Source organism: Homo sapiens, chromosome 1, assembly GCF_000001405.40.
Source record: "Homo sapiens chromosome 1, GRCh38.p14 Primary Assembly".
Lineage (NCBI taxonomy): Eukaryota > Metazoa > Chordata > Mammalia > Primates > Hominidae > Homo > Homo sapiens.
The window spans coordinates 146975483-146997067 of NC_000001.11; the positions used below are offsets into that span (position 1 = coordinate 146975483).

Below are 21585 nucleotides of genomic sequence, written 5' to 3' on the forward strand. Positions count from 1 at the left end.
CCCTCTCTGATACAGAGGAAGCCTGTAAACCATTTTCTATTCTTTCTCTTGGCCACAGACATTCCTTTCAACATGTGCTGACCTTCTGCTTGGAGGTCTCCTTGAGGACATTGTCTCAGAAATCTCTGTTGCAATATTTGAACGGATCACTCAACCCTTTCCACTCTTAAATTTTCTCTACCGTCTCACCTTAGGCAATATAAAGTCCTGGTTCACTCTCAGGAACGAGAGCTGACCCAGTTAAGGGAGAAGTTACGGGAAGGGAGAGATGCCTCCCGCTCATTGAATGAGCATCTCCAGGCCCTCCTCACTCCGGATGAGCCGGACAAGTCCCAGGGGCAGGACCTCCAAGAACAGCTGGCTGAGGGGTGTAGACTGGCACAACACCTTGTCCAAAAGCTCAGCCCAGGTAAGGTGGCCATAGGCCCTGATGACCCAAAACCCCAGGCTTATGAGAGGCTCCAGACCTCCATACTTTCACAATGACAGTTGTATCAATGGTGTTTTTTTCCACTAAGCTTATGTGGCCATGACATGACCAGGACTTCCTGGGTAAGAACGGAGATGGGAAACCCATGGGGTTGGAGGTCACAGTATTGCAAGTGTCCCTCCTTCCTTGATGGAAGGTGGTCTTTGGAGTAAGAGGCAGCATCTGTCTAGTTTTAAAGGACAGGAAGGAGGCTGCGATGGGAGCAGGCTTGTTAGAGTGAAAAGAGCTCTGGACTAAGAATGAAGGTTCCCAGGCTGTCTTTTCGGCAATGTTCTTAGTAACTGTCGGTGAGTGAATGACTTGTCCTTCCTGAGTTTCTCTCTCTCCATGGCAGACAAATTGTCTCTTGCAAGGGTCTGAAGCTTTCAAATGTGGGAACACTTACAACTGCTTTCCAAAATGAGATGAAGCCCCTCTCCGTGTGGTGTTGGAGAAGGCACTTGATGTGGGGGCATTTTGTGGTAGGAAGTGCTTCAGACTGGAGCACTCCCCATGGATAGAATGTCCCTGAATAACACAGCAGAAGCCACTTGGAGGCTTGAAATCTTCTAATGCATAGAGGACTGTGGGACAAGTTTGCTTCTAAGAGAAAGAATTAGGTTTGAAATGCAAACTGTGACAGGACACCAAGCCTGTTCCTGGGAATCAGATCTGGCAGGATGGGGGAGACAGCTGCCAAAGTCCAGAGAGAGGCTGCACAAGCCTCCAGTGATATGGGAAGCAAAAGATCTTTTCAGTATTTGGCCACATCTTGATGGTGGCCCTCCAGATCAGAAATGCATTGCCTGATGGACCAGGAAACCATGCCAGGGCATTCTGTTAAAGATAAAACATGAGAGTTTTCAGTTGAACGGTGACCCATGCCTAGATGTTCATGTCCCTGTTGCACATTGGGCTGACTGTGCTTGCAGACTGTGAAGTGGGAAATATCTGAATGAACACTTCTGTATTTACAGAAAATGATAACGATGACGATGAAGATGTTCAAGTTGAGGTGGCTGAGAAAGTGCAGAAATCGTCTTCCCCCAGGTAACACTGAATACTCAGGAACAATTAATGGATGGTAACATATGAAGAATATCTAGGAGGCACACCCTCTCTGGCATGTATGATGGGCCAAAAACCCGCATTCGCTTGGCCACAGTATGTGAAATATAACCCAGCTTAGACACAGGGTGCGGCAGGTGTCATGTTTCTCTATGTGTGCCGAGTGTCATGTCTGCACCGTACAGGGATAGCTGAGTCTTCATCCTTCTCAGCTCCTATCTGTCCAGTGCAATGAACAGCAGCTGCTCTCTTCCTCTCTGGTTCCCATGGCAGCCGTGCTCTGTTGCAGACAGAACAGGATTGCATGTTCCCTCTTAATGGGAACGTCCATTTTGCTTTCTGGGACCACTCTCTTAATGCCGCCTGTCAAAACCAGCTAGGACTCCCTGGGGTCCAATCCCTCTGTGTTTAATCTTCTGTCATCTCTGTCCCACCTGGCTCATCAGGGAGATGCAGAAGGCTGAAGAAAAGGAAGTCCCTGAGGACTCACTGGAGGAGTGTGCCATCACTTGTTCAAATAGCCATGGCCCTTATGACTCCAACCAGCCACATAGGAAAACCAAAATCACATTTGAGGAAGACAAAGTCGACTCAACTCTCATTGGCTCATCCTCTCATGTTGAATGGGAGGATGCTGTACACATTATCCCAGGTAGCCTCTGTTTTCCTTGTGTCTCATACCTCTCTCTAGGCTGAGGAAGATAAACTCTGAAGACAGGCTCTATAAACACAAATTCATTTGAATAAAAAACTGTGATGGGTTTCTAAACAGATATCAGGGAGTTTTTTTGTCCTTCTCAGCTAATGTCATGCCTTTGTCTGCCAGTCCCCAGTATCAAGTTACTCGACCCCAGGCAAGTGTGACAATCTCATAGTCACCTCAGTGCAGGAGGTGCACAGGCAGTATCTGTCAGGCCTCCTAACTTCCATTCAGTATCTCTTGTCATCTGTGATTTAGTCATCTGTCCATGAACAATGTCCATGGAGTTTCTATGCCTGTTTAAGGAAGCTGGCAGCCTTGCCTTTGTATTTGGAAACATTGTTCCCCAGGCTTCACTGCTCTCAGCTTTCATCTGGATCTCCTTTAAGTCAGCTTGCTTAGCTGCACAGTCACCCTGAAATCAGGATGGAAACTTTTCTTCTTTACTTTGCTGATATATTTCCATAAAGCAAGGCTGGACCCTGGTTCTCCACCCTGTCAATGCAATGGCTGATCCAATGTTTGTTTGTAGCGTCGTAGATTTTTTTTTTTTTTTTTTTTTTGCGATGGAGTCCTGCTCTGTCACCTAGGCTGGAGTGCAGTGGCACCATCTTGACTTGGTGCAACCTCTGCCTCCCAGATTCAAGTGATTCTCCTGCCTCAGCCTCCTGAGTTGCTGGGACCACAGGTGCACAACATCACATCTGGCTAATTTTTGTATTTTTAGTAGAGACAGGGTTTCCCCATATTGGCCAGGGTAGTCCTGAACTCATGACCTCAAATGATTCACCTGTCTTGGCCTCCCAAATCACAGATTCTTTTTAAAGCAAGAGTTGTTCAAATTTATCTATCAGTCGTGTTTCATGTATAGATGCCTCTAAACATTTTATGTCCACGTTACCTGGTGATATAAGTCCGTATTGCAGCAACATTCTTAGAAAATTGTTTGACCAATTTTTGGAGATTTTTTTGGGGAAAAAATTTTGTTTAACTTTGACTCAGGCAGGGAATATGGCATTATGGTCTACACGTAGAGGGAGATTTTGGCCTGTGGGTCTGGAAAGCAGGGTCATCTAATTCTCACCAAAGTTAATCTAGGGCACCCTAGAATATTCCTGTCAGAATCCTTATTCTTGCACTGAGAATAGTTATGTCCTTGTGCTATGACTGGACAGTGATTTGGTCATATGTGAAGTATGAATTGCTTAATGTGACCTGCTTCTCTGAATTTATTTACAGAAAATGAAAGTGATGATGAGGAAGAGGAAGAAAAAGGGCCAGTGTCTCCCAGGTAATGTTGTGGAATTGTTGGCTGTTAATTCAGTAGTGACATCTGGAGATTGTAGATTTAGGGAAAATGAGGAAGTGATGAATAGAACTATTTCTTCCATTCACCCAGCTACAAATTGTGCTGATTTACAATGTTGTATGTTATTTGTGGCACTTGTGTTGGTTTTAATTTCATAGTCCTCTCAAGATAGGAACTTGCCATCAGATGAGCCAGGTGAACTAGCCAAACAGGGTTTTCTTGTTGATCTTTTCAAAAAACCAGCCCTGGATTCATTGATATTTTGAAGGGTTTTTTGTGTCTCTATCTCCTTGAGTTCTGCTCTGATCTTAGTTACTTCTTGTCTTCTGCTAGCTTTTGAATTTGTTTGCTTTGCTTCTCTAGTTATTTTAATTGTGATGTTAGGGTGTCAATTTTAGATCTTTTCTGCTTTCTCTTGTGGGCATTTAGTGCTATAATTTTCCCTCTACACATTGCTTTAAATGTGTCCCAGAGATTCTGGTATGTTGTGTCTTTGTTCTCATTGGTTTCAAAGAACATCTTTATTTCTGCCTTCATTTTGTTATTTTCCCAGTAGTCATTCAGGAGCAGGTTGTTGAGTTTCCATGTAGTTGTGCAGTTTTCAGTGAGTTTCTTAATCCTGAGTTCTAATTTGATTGCACTGTGGTCTGACAGTTTGTTGTGATTTCCATTCTTTTACATTTGCTGACGAGTGCTTTACCTCCAACTATGTGGTCAATTTTGGAATAAGTGTGATGTGATGCTGAGAAGAATGTATATTCTGTTGATTTGGGGTGGAGAGTTCTGTAGATGTCTTTTAGGTCTGCTTGGTGCAGAGCTGAGTTCAAGTCCTGGATATCCTTGTTAAGCTTCTGTCTCATTGATCTGTCTAATATTGACAGTGGGGTGTTAAAGTCTCCCATGATGATTGTGTGGAGTCTAAATCTCTTTGTAGGTCTCTCAGGACTTGCTTTATGAATCTGGGTGCTCCTGTATAGGGTGCATATATATTTAGGATAGTTAACTCTTCTTGTTGAATTGATCCCTTTACCATTATGTAGTGGCCTTCTTCGTCTCTTTTGATATTTGTTGGTTTAAAGTCTGTTTTATCAGAGACTAGGATTGCAACCCCTGCATTTTTTTGCTTTCCATTTGCTTGGTAGAACTTCCTCCATCCCTTTATTTTGAGCCTATGTGTGTCTCTGCATGTGAGATGGGTTTTCTGAGTACAGCGCACCGATGGGTCTTGACTCTTTATCCAATTTGCCATTCTGTGTTTTTTAACTGGGGCATTTAGCCCCTTTACATTTAAGGTTAATATTGTTATGTGTGAATTTGATCCTGTCGTTATGATGTTTGCTGGTTATTTCACCCGTTAGTTGATGCAGTTTCTTCCTAGCTTCAATGGTCTTTAGAGTTTGGCATGTTTTTGCAGTGGCTGGTACCGGTTGTTCCTTTCCATGTTTAGTGCTTCCTTTAGGAGCTCTTTTTGGGCAGGCCTGGTGGTGACAAAATCTCTCAGCATTTGCTTCTCTGTAAAGGATTTATTTCTCCTTCACTTATGAAGCTTTGTTTGGCTGGATATGAAATTCTTGGTTGAAAATTCTTTTCTTTAAGAATGTTGAAGGTGCTGGAGAGGATGTGGAGAAATCGAACACTTTTACACTGTTGGTGGGACTGTAAACTAGTTCAACGATTGTGGAAGGCAGTGTGGCAATTCCTCAGGGATCTAGAACTAGAAATACCATTTGACCCAGCCATCCCATTACTGGGTGTATACCCAAAGGATTATAAATCATGCTGCTGTAAAGACACATGCACACATATGTTTATTGTGGCACTATTCACAATAGCAAAGACTTGGAACCAAGCCAAATATCCAGCAATGATAGACTGGATTAAGAAAATGTGGCACATATACACCATGGAATACTATGCAGCTATAAAAAATGATGAGTTCATGTCCTTTGTAGGGGCATGGATGAAGCTGGAAACCATCATTCTCAGCAAACTATTGCAAGGACAAAAAACCAAATACCGCATGTTCTTACTCACAGGTGGGAATTGAACAATGAGAACACAAGGACACAGGAAGGGGAACATCACACACTGGGGCCTGTTGTAGGGTGGGGGGAGGGAGGAGGGGTAGCATTAGGAGATATACCTAATGTTAAATGATGAGTTAATGGGTGAAGCACACCAATGTGGACATGTATACATATGTAACTAAGCTGCACGTTGTGCACATGTACCCTAAGACTTAAAGTATTAAAAAAAAAAAAAAAAAATATATATATATATATATATACATACACACAAAAAATAATAAAGGAAAACTATACATATGGAAAAAAAAAGAATGTTGAATATTGCTCCCACTCTCTTCTGGCTTGTAGGGTTTGTGCCAAGAGATCTGCTGCTAGTCTGATGGGCTTCCCTTTGTGGGTAATCCGACCTTTCTCTCTGGCTGCCCTTAGCATTTTTTCCTTCATTTCAACCTTGGTGAATCTGACAATTATGTGTCCCGGGGTTGCTCTTCTCGAGGAGTATCTTTATGGTGTTCTCTGTGTTTCCTGAATTTGAATGTTGGCCTTCCTTGTTAGGTTGGGGAAGTCCTCCTGGATAATATCCTGAAGAATGTTTCCCAGCTTGGTTCCATTCTCCCCATCACTTTCAGTACACCAATCAAACGTAGATTTGGTCTTTTCACATAGTCCCATATTTATTGGAGGCTTGTTCATTTCTTTTTACTCTTTTTTCTCTAAACTTCTCTTCTCGCTTCATTTCACTAATTTGATCTTGAATCACTGATACCGTTTCTTGCACTTGATCGAATTGGCTACTGAAGCTTGTGCATGCATCACGTAGTTCTCGTGCCATGGTTTTCAGCTCCATCAGGTCATTTAAGGTCTTCTCTACACTGTTCATTCTGGTTAGCCATTCGTCTAATCTTTTTTCAAGGTTTTTAGCTTCCTTGCGATGAGTTCGCACATCCTCCTTTAGCTCAGAGAAGTTTGTTATTACCGACTTTCTGAAGCCTACTTCTGTCAGCTCGTCAAAGTCATTCTCCATCCTGCTTTGTTCCATTGCTGGCGAGGAGCTGCGATCCTTTGGAGGAGAAGGGATGTCAGGTTTTTGGAATTTTCAGCTTTTGTGCTCTGGTTTCTCCCCACCTTTGTGGTTTTATCTACCCTTGGTCTTTGATGATGGTGACCTACAGATGGGGTTTTGGCGTGGATGTCTTTTTTGTTGATGTTGATGCTATCCCTTTCTGTGTGTTAGTTTTCCTTCTAACAGTCAGGTCCCTCAGCTTCAGGTCTGTTGGAGTTTGCTGGAAGTCCACTCCAGACCCTCAAACAGGGATTTCTTGGTGTTGCCTATTCTCTCCCATGTGTTTAAATCCAGGGAGAGATGTATATATGCTTTCTTCCCATTTGTTGGTAGTATGTTGGCTAGTATTTTTGCAAGAAAAGAAATTGAAAAAGTAAATATATTATATCAAAATATTGGGAAAATGGGGCCCTTAATACACAAGATCTGTGTCTGCATTGGGTCAAGAACTCTCTTGACTTGAATGCTGCGTGTAAAATTCAACCCAATTTATGCAAAGTAGTTGAAGCCCTGTGTCAGTTCTCTGTGCTGCAAGTCATGATGGTAGTTTACAGGGAGAGTCTGGGTGCCCTGAGTTGGCTCATCTGTGGCAAATGTACTGAGCACATGCTGCCCATTTTTGCTCTGTCCCCAGAGCAGTCACCCTCCACCCTGTATTTAGAAGGATAGTTTTATTTCTCTTAAAGGAAAAATGCCTTTGGTTTCTGTGACCACTCCATTCTGTCTCCCATCAGATCATCTGGGAGGTTTTGTTGTCTAATGTCTGTTGGTTAAATCTTCTATCATCCCTGTCCTGCCTGGCTCATCAGGAATCTGCAGGAGTCTGAAGAGGAGGAAGTCCCCCAGGAGTCCTGGGATGAAGGTTATTCGACTCTCTCAATTCCTCCTGAAAGGTTGGCCTCATACCAGTCTTACAGCAGCACATTTCACTCATTAGAGGAACAGCAAGTCTGCATGGCTGTTGACATAGGCAGTGAGTACTCCATTGTGAAGGTGATAAAGCTCCAGTTCATTGCCCAGGTAGACCCCATAATCTTTGGGCCTTGTGCCCCTTGTTGGGCTGAGAGTTGCCATCACTGTGGGCTGAACCTATATATCAATGTAGATTTCAATCACTCTGGAGTCGAGTCTGAAGCACAGGCATGGGGTGGGTCAGTGAGCTCTGCTCTCTTCCTAGTCTCAGGCCATGCCCGTGCCAACCTGGACTGACTGTCACGACATTGAACTCAAGGCAGGTGTGGCAAACTCACACCAAACTATGTAGCACATGCCCAGGAGTTGTCTGTCAGATCAGCTCATCTGAATTAAATGTCTCTTGCCAGCTACAAAATTCCTTATGAGTTTTGTTCCCAAAGCATGTCTGTGTGGTTCTTTACCTGCCCAAGGCCAGTGTCACCCTTGTCTACCTCTCAGTGAAAGATGTGACCCAGGTTTCACTGAATTTATCCCCATTTTCTGTGTCTTCTAAGTTCGCTTGTTTTAGCTCATCTGTCCGTCATGTTCCTGGTATGTTTTCTAGATAAATGGCTTACTTTTCACCCACAAAAGCCATAATAGCTGATGCTTCTGTGTAGAACCAAGTTTCATTTTGACTCAAGAGCTGGTACATTGCACCCCTTCATCAAATCTCTGTGTCCACAATCTCATAAACTATCAAATTCTGGGTATTTGATGAGAGAAAGCTTAATATTGAAGTATCTCTCCTATGAGGTGTTAGAACTATTTGCCTACAATTTATTGGGGAAAAAATTGCTCATTTGTGTACATAAACCTAGGACAGAGCACATAGGGAAGATAACATTCCAACACAGGGGAATTTTGCCCAAGGCTCATGAAAGAACCCAAGCCAGTTTTCTCAAGACTTGACCTCAGGCCTACTGGAATATTTCTCTCAAAGTCTCCTGTTCTCACACTGACAAGACTGATGTCCCTGTGTTAGGATTGGACAGAGGAATGTTTCTGTGTGCAAGGAAGAACTGCCTAATGTAAGAGGCCCCATCTGAATTTATTTGCAGGACATCGGTGGGATCAAGTGAAAAAGGAGGACCAAGAGGCAACAGGTCCCAGGTGAGTCTGAGAAATTGTGGACAGTTAATTTGATGTTGACACCTGGAGATGCCAAGTCCAGGGAAAACAGTACACGCTGAAAATAATGATTTTGTCTTGTCAGACAAGTCTGAATTATGCCTACTGCATTGTTTTTTGGTTCTCATTAGAGTAAATGTTTAGGTTTCCATTTCTTCCTACCCTTATCATTTACTAACCTAGTGAAGGTTGACCATACCTCAAAAGCTGTATTCTCATGGTGACTGCAGGGAAACTTGAGCACATTTTATGCAAAATTATTGAGGCCATGCTTTTCATGATCACTGTTCACTGTGTGTCCTGAGAGCACAAATACAGAGTGTCCTTTGACTCCCTCATCAGTGTGTCACCCGGCCAATTGACTGAGCTCACACTGTGTGTGTGTGTGTGTGTGTGTGTGTGTGTGTGTGTGTGTGTGTGTCTTTCTCTTTCATCCTTTTCTACCTGGCCCTAGTCTATCACAACATAAAGGCAATAATTTGTTACCTCATTAATGGATCTGTCCTTTTTCTTTTCAAACTCTTCCTTATGTTAGCCATGAAATCTAGCTGGGGCTGTGTGGTTTCTGATTCCCCCTGGCTTATTCTTTACTTTTTCCCACTTTTCCAGGCTCAGCAGGGAGCTGCTGGCTGAGAAAGAGCCTGAAGTCTTGCAGGACTCACTGGATAGATGTTATTCAACTCCTTCAGTTTATCTTGGACTGACTGACTCATGCCAGCCCTACAGAAGTGCCTTTTACGTATTGGAGCAACAGCGTGTTGGCTTGGCTGTTGACATGGATGGTGAGTACCTTTCTATGAAGGTGATAAGGATCCACTGAGTCTTCTGGTTAGGGTCATATTCCTACTGCAAGTGGCCCTTACTGAGCTGAGAGATGTCATTGCCACAGGGAGGACCTATAGGCACATGTAGGTTGAGTGAAACTCTAGTTCCACTTGGAAGCCCAGACAAGGGATGGGTCAGTGAGCAAGGCTCTCTTCCTAGTCTCAGGCCCTGCCTGTGGCACCCTAATCCTACTCTCAAGATGTTGGATCTGGGCAGATGTGACAAATTCACACAACTCTGATTTTGTCTGAATTCTGTAGATCTTGTAGATTTCATCCTTCACTCTAATTTCAGCGTCTAAAATCCTCGCTACCATGAACAATCTGAGTATTTGATGAGACAGGGCTGAATAGTGCAGTTTTTCTCCTAGCAACCATTTGGGGGCACTTGCTTTAAATCGATTGGAAAAATATGGCATAACCATTTGCACAAACTTGGGAGAAATGATATTGGGATAACGATCTACCAGAATAGGGAAGTTTACCCAGAGTTTCTGGGACAAAAACCAAGGAATCTCTATCATGATCAGCCTTCAGGCCTCCTGAAGAATATCTCTCACAGTGTCCTATTCTCATGCTGAGGAGCCTGAAGTCCCTGTGTGAGGATTAGACAGTGGATTGTTATGTGTGTAGGAGAACCAGCTTCATATGTCTGTCCATGTCTGAACTTATTGCAGAAATTGAAAAGTACCAAGAAGTGGAAGAAGACCAAGACCCATCATGCCCCAGGTAACTTTGAGCAATTATGGATGCTTAATTCTGTGTTGACACCTGGAGATGCCAGGTCCAGGGAAAAGAAGAGTGTGTTCAATTTCATGTTTTCAACGAAGGTTGAATTACTCCTACTGCCATTGCTGTTGGTTTTCATTGCAGTAGATGTTTAGGTTTCCATTTCTTCCTCCCCTTGTCATTTACTAACTTACTATAGGTTGACCATACCTCAAAGGCCGTATGGCAACTGCATGGAATCTTGAGCAAGTTTATGGAAAATTATTGAGCCCACTGTTTTCATGATCACTGTTCACTGTGTGTCCCGAGGGCACTAAATCAGAGTGTCCTTTGACCCCTTCATCAGTGTGTCACCCGGCCAATTCGCTGAGCTCACTTTCTCCTCTCTCTCTCTCTCCCTCTCCCTGTCTTCTCTTTCATTCTTTTCTACCTGGCCCTGGTCTATCCCAACATAAAGGCAATAATTCATTACCTCATTAATGGATCTGTCCTTTTTCTTTTTAAACAGTTCCTTATGTTAGCCACGAAATCTAGCTGGGGCTGTGTGGTTTCTGATTCCCCCTGGCTTATTCTTTACTTTTTCCTACTTTTCCAGGCTCAGCAGGGAGCTGCTGGCTGAGAAAGAGCCTGAAGTCTTGCAGGACTCACTGGATAGATGTTATTCGACTCCTTCAGGTTATCTTGAACTGCCTGACTTAGGCCAGCCCTACAGAAGTGCTGTTTACTCATTGGAGGAACAGTACCTTGGCTTGGCTCTTGACGTGGACAGTGAGTACCTTACTATGAAGGTGATAAGCCTCCACCTGGCCTTCCAGATAGGGGTGATATTCCTGTTCCAAGTGGCCCTTACTGACCCGAGAGACGTCATTGCCACAGGCAGGACCTATGGGTGCATATAGGTTGTAATGAAACTGTAGTCTCAGCTGGAAGCCTAGACATGAAATGGGTCAGTGAGCAAGGCTCTATTCCTAGTCTCCAGCCATGCCTGTGGCAACCTGAGCCCACTCTCAGCACGTTGGACCCAGGCAGATGTAAAAAATTCACAGAACTATGATTTGGACTCAAGGGTTTGTAGATTTCCTCCTTCATTCTAATTTCAGTGTCTAAAATTCTTGCATCCGTGAACGAGCTGGGCATTTGATGAGACAGGGCCGAATACTGCAGTTTTCCTCCTAGAAATCCTCTGGGGCATTTTCTTTGAACTGATGGGAACAATAAGGCATAACTGTTTGCACAAACTTGGGATAAATGATTTTGGGATAACGATCTACCAGAATAGGGATATTTCACCCTTGGTTCTGAGATGCAAACCAAAGAATATCATGACCAGCTTTCAGGCCTCCTGAAGTATATCCCTCAAATTGTCCTGTTCTCATGCTGAGGAGCCTGAGATCCCTGTGTGGGGATTAGACAGTGGACTGTTATGGGTGTAGGTGAATTGGCTTATTTTGTCTGTCCCTGCCTGAATGTATTGCAGGAATTAAAAAGGACCAAGAAGAGGAAGAAGACCAAGGCCCACCATGCCCCAGGTAACTGAGCAATTGTGAACAGCTACTTCTGTGTTGACATCTGGAGACTCCTGGTTCAGGGAAAATAGAGCGGGCTGACATTATCGATTACATCTTTTCAACCAAGCCTGAATTATTCCTACTAACATTGCTGTTGGTTTTCATTGCAGTAGATATTTAGGTTTCCATTTCTTCCTCCCCTTATCATTTACTAACCTACTGCAGGTGGACCAGACTTCAAAAACTGTATTCTCATGGTGACTGCATGGAAACTTGAGCACATTTTATGGAAAATTATTGAGCACAGTCTTTTCATGATCACTGTATGCTGTGTGTCCTGAGGGCACTAACTCAGAGTGTCCTGTTACTCCCTCATCAGTGTGTCACCTGGACAATTCACTGAGCTCGTTTTCTCTCTCTCTCTCTCTCTTTCTCTCTCAGTGTGTGCGTGTGTCTTTGTGTGTGTGTTTGTGTGTGTGTGTGTGTGTGTGTGTGTCTGTCTTTCTCTTTCATTCTTTTCCATTTGGCCCTGTTCTGTCCCAACATGAAGGCAATAATTTGTTACCTCATTAATGGATCTATCCTTTTACTTTTTTAACCACTTCCTTATGCTACCCATGAAACCTAGTTGGGGCTCTGTTGTGTGTGATTTCCCCTGGCTTATTCTTTACTTTTTCCTCCTTTTCCAGGCTCAGCAGGGAGCTGCTGGAGGTAGTAGAGCCTGAAGTCTTGCAGGACTCACTGGATAGATGTTATTCAACTCCTTCCAGTTGTCTTGAACAGCCTGACTCCTGCCAGCCCTACAGAAGTTCCTTTTATGCATTGGAGGAAAAACATGTTGGCTTTTCTCTTGACGTGGGAGGTGAGTACGTTTCTATGAAGGTGATAAGGATCCACTGAGTCTTCCATATAAAGATCATATTCCTGCTCCAAGTGGCCATTACTGAGCTGAGAGATGTCATTGCCGCAGTGAGGACCTATAGGCACATGTAGGTTGAATGAAACTCTAGTTCTACCTGGAAGCCCAGACATGGGATGGGTCAGTGAGCATGGCTCTCTTCCTAGTCTCAGGCCATGCCTGTGGCACTCTGATTCTACTCTCATGACATTGGACCTGGGCAGATGTGACAAATTCAGAGAACTATGATTTTGACTCGAGGGTTTGTAGATTTCCTTTTTCACTCTAATTTCAGTGTCTGGAGTCCTCACAACCATGAACAATCTGAGTATTTGATGAGACAGGGCTAAATATTGCAGTTTTTCTCCTAGAAATCATTTGAGGGTATTTGCTTTAAATTGATTGGAAAAATAAGGCATAACTGTTTGCACAAACTTGGGACAAATGATATTGGGATAACGATCTACTAGAATAGGGACATTTTACCCAGAGTTTCTGGGAGAAAAACCGAGGAATTTCTATCACGACCAGCCTTCAGGCCTCCTGAAATATATCTCTCACAGTGTCCTATTCTTATGCTGAGGAGCCTGAGGTCCCTGTGTGAGGATTAGACAGTGGATTGTTATGTGTGTAGGGGAATCAGCTTAATGTGTCTGTCCATGTCTGAATTTATTGCAGAAATTGAAAAGAAGGGGAAGGGGAAGAAAAGAAGGGGAAGAAGATCAAAGAAGAAAAGAAGAAGGGGAAGAAAAGAAGGGGAAGAAGATCAAAACCCACCATGCCCCAGGTAACTTTCAGCAATTGTGGATGCTTAATTCTGTGTTAACACCTGGAGGCAACAGATTCAGGGAAACCAGAGTGTGTTTGATGTCATGTTTTCAACGAAGGCTGAATTACTCCTACTGTCATTGCTGTTGGTTTTCATTGCAGTAGATGTTTAGGTTTCCATTTCTTCCTCCCCTTATCATTTAGTAACGTACCATAGGTTGACCATACTTCAAAAGCTGTACTCTCATGGCCACTGCATCGAATTTTGAGCATATTTTATGGAAAACTATTGAGCTCACTCTTTTCATGATCACAGTTTGCTGTGTGTCATGAGGGCACTAACTCAGAGTGTCCTTTGACTCCCTTACCAGTATGTCACCTGGCCAATTCACTAGCTCACTTTCTCTCTGTCTCTGTCTCTGTCTCTGTCTCTGTCTCTGTCTCTCTCTCTCTGTCTTTCTCTTTCATTGTTTTCTACCTGGCCCTGTTCTATCCCAACATAAAGGCAATAATTTGTTACCTCATTAATGGATCTGTCCTTTTTCTTTTCTAACCACTTCCTTATGTTAGCCATGAAATCTAGCTGGGGCTGTGTGATTTCTGATTCCCCCTGGCTTATTCTTTACTTTTTCCCACTTTCCAGGCTCAGCAGGGAGCTGCTGGCTGAGAAAGAGCCTGAAGTCTTGCAGGACTCACTGGATAGATGGTATTCGACTCCTTCAGTTTATCTTGGACTGACTGACCCATGCCAGCCCTACAGAAGTGCCTTTTACGTATTGGAGCAACAGCGTGTTGGCTTGGCTGTTGACATGGATGGTGAGTACCTTTCTATGAAGGTGATAAGGATCCACTGAGTCTTCTGGTTAGGGTCATATTCCTACTGCAAGTGGCCCTTACTGAGCTGAGAGATGTCATTGCCACAGGGAGGACCTATAGGCACATGTAGGTTGAGTGAAACTCTAGTTCCACTTGGAAGCCCAGACAAGGGATGGGTCAGTGAGCAAGGCTCTCTTCCTAGTCTCAGGCCCTGCCTGTGGCACCCTAATCCTACTCTCAAGATGTTGGATCTGGGCAGATGTGACAAATTCACACAACTCTGATTTTGTCTGAATTCTGTAGATCTTGTAGATTTCATCCTTCACTCTAATTTCAGCGTCTAAAATCCTCGCTACCATGAACAATCTGAGTATTTGATGAGACAGGGCTGAATAGTGCAGTTTTTCTCCTAGCAACCATTTGGGGGCACTTGCTTTAAATCGATTGGAAAAATATGGCATAACCATTTGCACAAACTTGGGAGAAATGATATTGGGATAACGATCTACCAGAATAGGGAAGTTTACCCAGAGTTTCTGGGACAAAAACCAAGGAATCTCTATCATGCTCAGCCTTCAGGCCTCCTGAAGAATATCTCTCACAGTGTCCTATTCTCATGCTGAGGAGCCTGAAGTCCCTGTGTGAGGATTAGACAGTGGATTGTTATGTGTGTAGGAGAACCAGCTTCATATGTCTGTCCATGTCTGAACTTATTGCAGAAATTGAAAAGTACCAAGAAGTGGAAGAAGACCAAGACCCATCATGCCCCAGGTAACTTTGAGCAATTATGGATGCTTAATTCTGTGTTGACACCTGGAGATGCCAGGTCCAGGGAAAAGAAGAGTGTGTTCAATTTCATGTTTTCCACGAAGGTTGAATTACTCCTACTGCCATTGCTGTTGGTTTTCATTGCAGTAGATGTTTAGGTTTCCATTTCTTCCTCCCCTTGTCATTTACTAACTTACTATAGGTTGACCATACCTCAAAGGCCGTATGGCAACTGCATGGAATCTTGAGCAAGTTTATGGAAAATTATTGAGCCCACTGTTTTCATGATCACTGTTCGCTGTGTGTCCCGAGGGCACTAAATCAGAGTGTCCTTTGAACCCTTCATCAGTGTGTCACCCGGCCAATTCGCTGAGCTCACTTTCTCCTCTCTCTCTCTCTCCCTCTCCCTGTCTTCTCTTTCATTCTTTTCTACCTGGCCCTGGTCTATCCCAACATAAAGGCAATAATTCATTACCTCATTAATGGATCTGTCCTTTTTCTTTTTAAACAGTTCCTTATGTTAGCCATGAAATCTAGCTGGGGCTGTGTGGTTTCTGATTCCCCCTGGCTTATTCTTTACTTTTTCCTACTTTTCCAGGCTCAGCAGGGAGCTGCTGGCTGAGAAAGAGCCTGAAGTCTTGCAGGACTCACTGGATAGATGTTATTCGACTCCTTCAGGTTATCTTGAACTGCCTGACTTAGGCCAGCCCTACAGAAGTGCTGTTTACTCATTGGAGGAACAGTACCTTGGCTTGGCTCTTGACGTGGACAGTGAGTACCTTACTATGAAGGTGATAAGCCTCCACCTGGCCTTCCAGATAGGGGTGACATTCCTGTTCCAAGTGGCCCTTACTGACCCGAGAGACGTCATTGCCACAGGCAGGACCTATGGGTGCATATAGGTTGTAATGAAACTGTAGTCTCAGCTGGAAGCCTAGACATGAAATGGGTCAGTGAGCAAGGCTCTATTCCTAGTCTCCAGCCATGCCTGTGGCAACCTGAGCCCACTCTCAGCACATTGGACCCAGGCAGATGTAAAAAATTCACAGAACTATGATTTGGACTCAAGGGTTTGTAGATTTCCTCCTTCATTCTAATTTCAGTGTCTAAAATTCTTGCATCCGTGAACGAGCTGGGCATTTGATGAGACAGGGCCGAATACTGCAGTTTTCCTCCTAGAAATCCTCTGGGGCATTTTCTTTGAACTGATGGGAACAATAAGGCATAACTGTTTGCACAAACTTGGGATAAATGATTTTGGGATAACGATCTACCAGAATAGGGATATTTCACCCTTGGTTCTGAGATGCAAACCAAAGAATATCATGACCAGCTTTCAGGCCTCCTGAAGTATATCCCTCAAATTGTCCTGTTCTCATGCTGAGGAGCCTGAGATCCCTGTGTGGGGATTAGACAGTGGACTGTTATGGGTGTAGGTGAATTGGCTTATTTTGTCTGTCCCTGCCTGAATGTATTGCAGGAATTAAAAAGGACCAAGAAGAGGAAGAAGACCAAGGCCCACCATGCCCCAGGTAACTGAGCAATTGTGAACAGCTACTTCTGTGTTGACATCTGGAGACTCCTGGTTCAGGGAAAACAGAGCGGGCTGACATTATCGATTACATCTTTTCAACCAAGCCTGAATTATTCCTACTAACATTGCTGTTGGTTTTCATTGCAGTAGATACTTAGGTTTCCATTTCTTCCTCCCCTTATCATTTACTAACCTACTGCAGGTGGACCAGACTTCAAAAACTGTATTCTCATGGTGACTGCATGGAAACTTGAGCACATTTTATGGAAAATTATTGAGCACAGTCTTTTCATGATCACTGTATGCTGTGTGTCCTGAGGGCACTAACTCAGAGTGTCCTGTTACTCCCTCATCAGTGTGTCACCTGGACAATTCACTGAGCTCGTTCTCTCTCTCTCTCTCTCTCTCTCTCTCTGTGTGTGTGTGTGTGTGTGTGTGTGTGTGTGTGTGTGTGTGTGTGTGTGTCTATCTGTCTTTCTCTTTCATTCTTTTCCATTTGGCCCTGTTCTGTCCCAACATGAAGGCAATAATTTGTTACCTCATTAATGGATCTATCCTTTTACTTTTTTTAACCACTTCCTTATGCTACCCATGAAACCTAGTTGGGGCTCTGTTGTGTCTGATTTCCCCTGGCTTATTCTTTACTTTTTCCTCCTTTTCCAGGCTCAGCAGGGAGCTGCTGGAGGTAGTAGAGCCTGAAGTCTTGCAGGACTCACTGGATAGATGTTATTCAACTCCTTCCAGTTGTCTTGAACAGCCTGACTCCTGCCAGCCCTACAGAAGTTCCTTTTATGCATTGGAGGAAAAACATGTTGGCTTTTCTCTTGACGTGGGAGGTGAGTACGTTTCTATGAAGGTGATAAGGATCCACTGAGTCTTCCATATAAAGATCATATTCCTGCTCCAAGTGGCCATTACTGAGCTGAGAGATGTCATTGCCGCAGTGAGGACCTATAGGCACATGTAGGTTGAATGAAACTCTAGTTCTACCTGGAAGCCCAGACATGGGATGGGTCAGTGAGCATGGCTCTCTTCCTAGTCTCAGGCCATGCCTGTGGCACTCTGATTCTACTCTCATGACATTGGACCTGGGCAGATGTGACAAATTCAGAGAACTATGATTTTGACTCGAGGGTTTGTAGATTTCCTTTTTCACTCTAATTTCAGTGTCTGGAGTCCTCACAACCATGAACAATCTGAGTATTTGATGAGACAGGGCTAAATATTGCAGTTTTTCTCCTAGAAATCATTTGAGGGTATTTGCTTTAAATTGATTGGAAAAATAAGGCATAACTGTTTGCACAAACTTGGGACAAATGATATTGGGATAACGATCTACTAGAATAGGGACATTTTACCCAGAGTTTCTGGGAGAAAAACCGAGGAATTTCTATCATGACCAGCCTTCAGGCCTCCTGAAATATATCTCTCACAGTGTCCTATTCTTATGCTGAGGAGCCTGAGGTCCCTGTGTGAGGATTAGACAGTGGATTGTTATGTGTGTAGGGGAATCAGCTTAATGTGTCTGTCCATGTCTGAATTTATTGCAGAAATTGAAAAGAAGGGGAAGGGGAAGAAAAGAAGGGGAAGAAGATCAAAGAAGAAAAGAAGAAGGGGAAGAAAAGAAGGGGAAGAAGATCAAAACCCACCATGCCCCAGGTAACTTTCAGCAATTGTGGATGCTTAATTCTGTGTTAACACCTGGAGGCAACAGATTCAGGGAAACCAGAGTGTGTTTGATGTCATGTTTTCAACGAAGGCTGAATTACTCCTACTGTCATTGCTGTTGGTTTTCATTGCAGTAGATGTTTAGGTTTCCATTTCTTCCTCCCCTTATCATTTAGTAACGTACCATAGGTTGACCATACTTCAAAAGCTGTACTCTCATGGCCACTGCATCGAATTTTGAGCATATTTTATGGAAAACTATTGAGCTCACTCTTTTCATGATCACAGTTTGCTGTGTGTCATGAGGGCACTAACTCAGAGTGTCCTTTGACTCCCTTACCAGTATGTCACCTGGCCAATTCACTAGCTCACTTTCTCTCTGTCTCTGTCTCTGTCTCTGTCTCTGTCTCTGTCTCTCTCTCTCTGTCTTTCTCTTTCATTGTTTTCTACCTGGCCCTGTTCTATCCCAACATAAAGGCAATAATTTGTTACCTCATTAATGGATCTGTCCTTTTTCTTTTCTAACCACTTCCTTATGTTACTTCTGAAATCTAGTGAGGCTCTGTGGTGTCTGACTTTCCCTGGCTGCTTCTTTAGTTTTGTCTCCTTTTCCAGGCTCAACAGCGTGCTGATGGAAGTGGAAGAGCCTGAAGTCTTGCAGGACTCACTGGATAGATGTTATTCGACTCCATCAATGTACTTTGAACTACCTGACTCATTCCAGCACTACAGAAGTGTGTTTTACTCATTTGAGGAACAGCACATCACCTTTGCCCTTGACATGGACAATAGCTTTTTTACTTTGACGGTGACAAGTCTCCACCTGGTCTTCCAGATGGGAGTCATATTCCCACAATAAGCAGCCCTTACTAAGCCGAGAGGTTTCATTCCTGCAGGCAGGACCTATAGGCACCTGAAGATTTGAATGAAACTATAGTTCCATTTGGAAGCCCAGACATAGGATGGGTCAGTGGGCATGGCTCTATTCCTATTCTCAGAGCATGCCAGTGGCAACCTGTGCTCAGTCTGAAGACAATGGACCCACGTTAGGTGTGACACGTTCACATAACTGTGCAGCACATGCCGGGAGTGATCAGCCGGACATTTTAATTTGAACCATGTATCTCTGGGTAGCTACAAAATTCCTCAGGGATTTCATTTTGCAGGCATGTCTCTGAGCTTCTATACCTACTCAAGGTCAGTGTCATCTTTGTGTTTAGTTCATCCAAAGGTGTTACCCTGGTTTCAATGAACCTAACCTCATTATTTGTGTCTTCAGTGTTGGCTTGTTTTAGCTGATCCATCTGTAACACAGGAGGGATCCTTGGCTGAGGATTGTATTTCAGAACCACCAACTGCTCTTGACAATTGTTAACCCACTAGGCTCCTTTGGTTAGAGAAGCCACAGTCCTTCAGCCTCCAATTGGTGTCAGTACTTAGGAAGACCACAGCTAGATGGACAAACAGCATTGGGAGGCCTTAGCCCTGCTCCTCTCAATTCCATCCTGTAGAGAACAGGAGTCAGGAGCCGCTGGCAGGAGACAGCATGTCACCCAGGACTCTGCCGGTGCAGAATATGAGCAATGCCATGTTCTTGCAGAAAACGCTTAGCCTGAGTTTCATAGGAGGTAATCACCAGACAACTGCAGAATGTAGAACACTGAGCAGGACAACTGACCTGTCTCCTTCACATAGTCCATATCACCACAAATCACACAACAAAAAGGAGAAGAGATATTTTGGGTTGAAAAAAAGTAAAAAGATAATGTAGCTGCATTTCTTTAGTTATTTTGAACCCCAAATATTTCCTCATCTTTTTGTTGTTGTCATTGATGGTGGTGACATGGACTTGTTTATAGAGGACAGGTCAGCTCTCTGGCTCAATGATCTACATTCTGAAGTTGTCTGAAAATGTCTTCATGATTAAATTCAGCCTAAACTTTTTGCTGGGAACACTGCAGAGACAATGCTGTGAGTTTCCAACCTCAGCCCATCTGCGGGCAGAGAAGGTCTAGTTTGTCCATCACCATTATGATATCAGGACTGGTTACTTGGTTAAGGAGGGGTCTAGGAGATCTGTCCCTTTTAGAGACACCTTACTTATAATGAAGTACTTGGGAAAGCGGTTTTCAAGAGTATAAATATCCTGTATTCTAATGATCATCCTCTAAACATTTTATCATTTATTAATCCTCCCTGCCTGTGTCTATTATTATATACATATCTCTACGCTGCAAATTTTGGGTCTCAATTTTTACTGTGCCTTTGTTTTTACTAGTGTCTGCTGTTGCAAAAAGAAGAAAACATTCTCTGCCTGAGTTTTAATTTTTGTCCAAAGTTAATTTTAATCTATACAATTAAAACCTTTTGCCTATCACTCTGGACTTTTGGATTGTTTTTTACATTCAGTGTTATAATATTTGATTATGCTGATTGGTTTTGGTGGGTACTGATGTGAATTAATAAAAACATTTCATTTCCATGTTTATTTTCTAATCTCTTCCACATTGTAGGCTATGTTTACCATACGTAGCAGAATGTATTTACATTTCTTGGTTCTAGTCATTTGTATTCTTCGTGAGTGTGTGTGTGTGTGTGTCTGTGTGTGCCTTTGGCATTTAGGAAGGGTTGTATAGCTCATGTTAAATATTGCACTAAAAATGTTTTTGATGGTTTTCCTCCCTTTGAACTAGACACACTTCTAATATTTGGTTTATAGTTTTAAATTATAACTTTCAGCATCAAATATTTCCATACAACAGTCAATTACATGATGTGTTTTCTTTTTCCTACCTCCTTTACCTGCCACTTCTCATAATAGTATTTGAACCTAAACATATACCGGTGACATTCTGTGATTATCATCCTGCCCCTACCTTGGTTTTTATCCATTGTGGTTTAGATCCATAATGAAATATATTAACGCTCATGAGCTATTCAAAAGTGAATGTCACAGTCATCACTTGCTGAGTGGTACTCATCCTTAACAGAGTCCTCATGAGGGAATCAGGTCTCGCTGAGTTTAGCATGTTTAATAATCTTTTCTCACGGTCTCGATACATGGATCACATTACTAGATATAAGGTGCTTGTCCAAAATGATTTTTCTGGAGCTTTTAGGAGATATTGTCATCCTTGGGGGACATACATGGTGTATGTTCTCATTGTGGGATTCTATTTTGTTCTACCAGGACCTCTAATTTCTGCCAGTTACTTCATTCATTTGTTCTCTTCACCATGAGTCTCCAGAGGATACTTCCATGGTCCGTGCCTCCCCATCTCCCAGCAATTCTGCATTTCCAAGATGGGCACCTCTGGTCCTCTGCACGGTGAAGCCCCTTCCTTTCAATTC

At 43.3% G+C, this 21585-nt stretch overlaps 1 protein-coding gene across 2 annotated transcripts in view; it reads left to right on the plus strand.

The window, feature by feature from the left end:
* NBPF12 (NBPF member 12) overlaps nt 1-20716 on the plus strand; it is a 57875-nt gene extending 37159 nt beyond the window's left edge. For both annotated transcript variants that reach the window (NM_001278141.3, XM_047447088.1), the window contains 19 exons: nt 195-409; nt 1447-1519; nt 1984-2189; nt 3477-3528; nt 7446-7609; nt 8652-8703; nt 9331-9503; nt 10223-10274; nt 10870-11042; nt 11752-11803; nt 12472-12644; nt 13359-13467; nt 14092-14264; nt 14984-15035; nt 15631-15803; nt 16513-16564; nt 17230-17402; nt 18117-18225; nt 18850-20716. In NM_001278141.3, the coding sequence (NP_001265070.1) occupies nt 195-409; nt 1447-1519; nt 1984-2189; nt 3477-3528; nt 7446-7609; nt 8652-8703; nt 9331-9503; nt 10223-10274; nt 10870-11042; nt 11752-11803; nt 12472-12644; nt 13359-13467; nt 14092-14264; nt 14984-15035; nt 15631-15803; nt 16513-16564; nt 17230-17402; nt 18117-18225; nt 18850-19093 (2470 nt within the window). In that variant the 3' untranslated portion in view covers nt 19094-20716. The remainder of the gene's footprint in view (nt 1-194; nt 410-1446; nt 1520-1983; nt 2190-3476; nt 3529-7445; nt 7610-8651; nt 8704-9330; nt 9504-10222; nt 10275-10869; nt 11043-11751; nt 11804-12471; nt 12645-13358; nt 13468-14091; nt 14265-14983; nt 15036-15630; nt 15804-16512; nt 16565-17229; nt 17403-18116; nt 18226-18849) is intronic.
* Nucleotides 20717-21585: the final 869 nt, after the last annotated feature.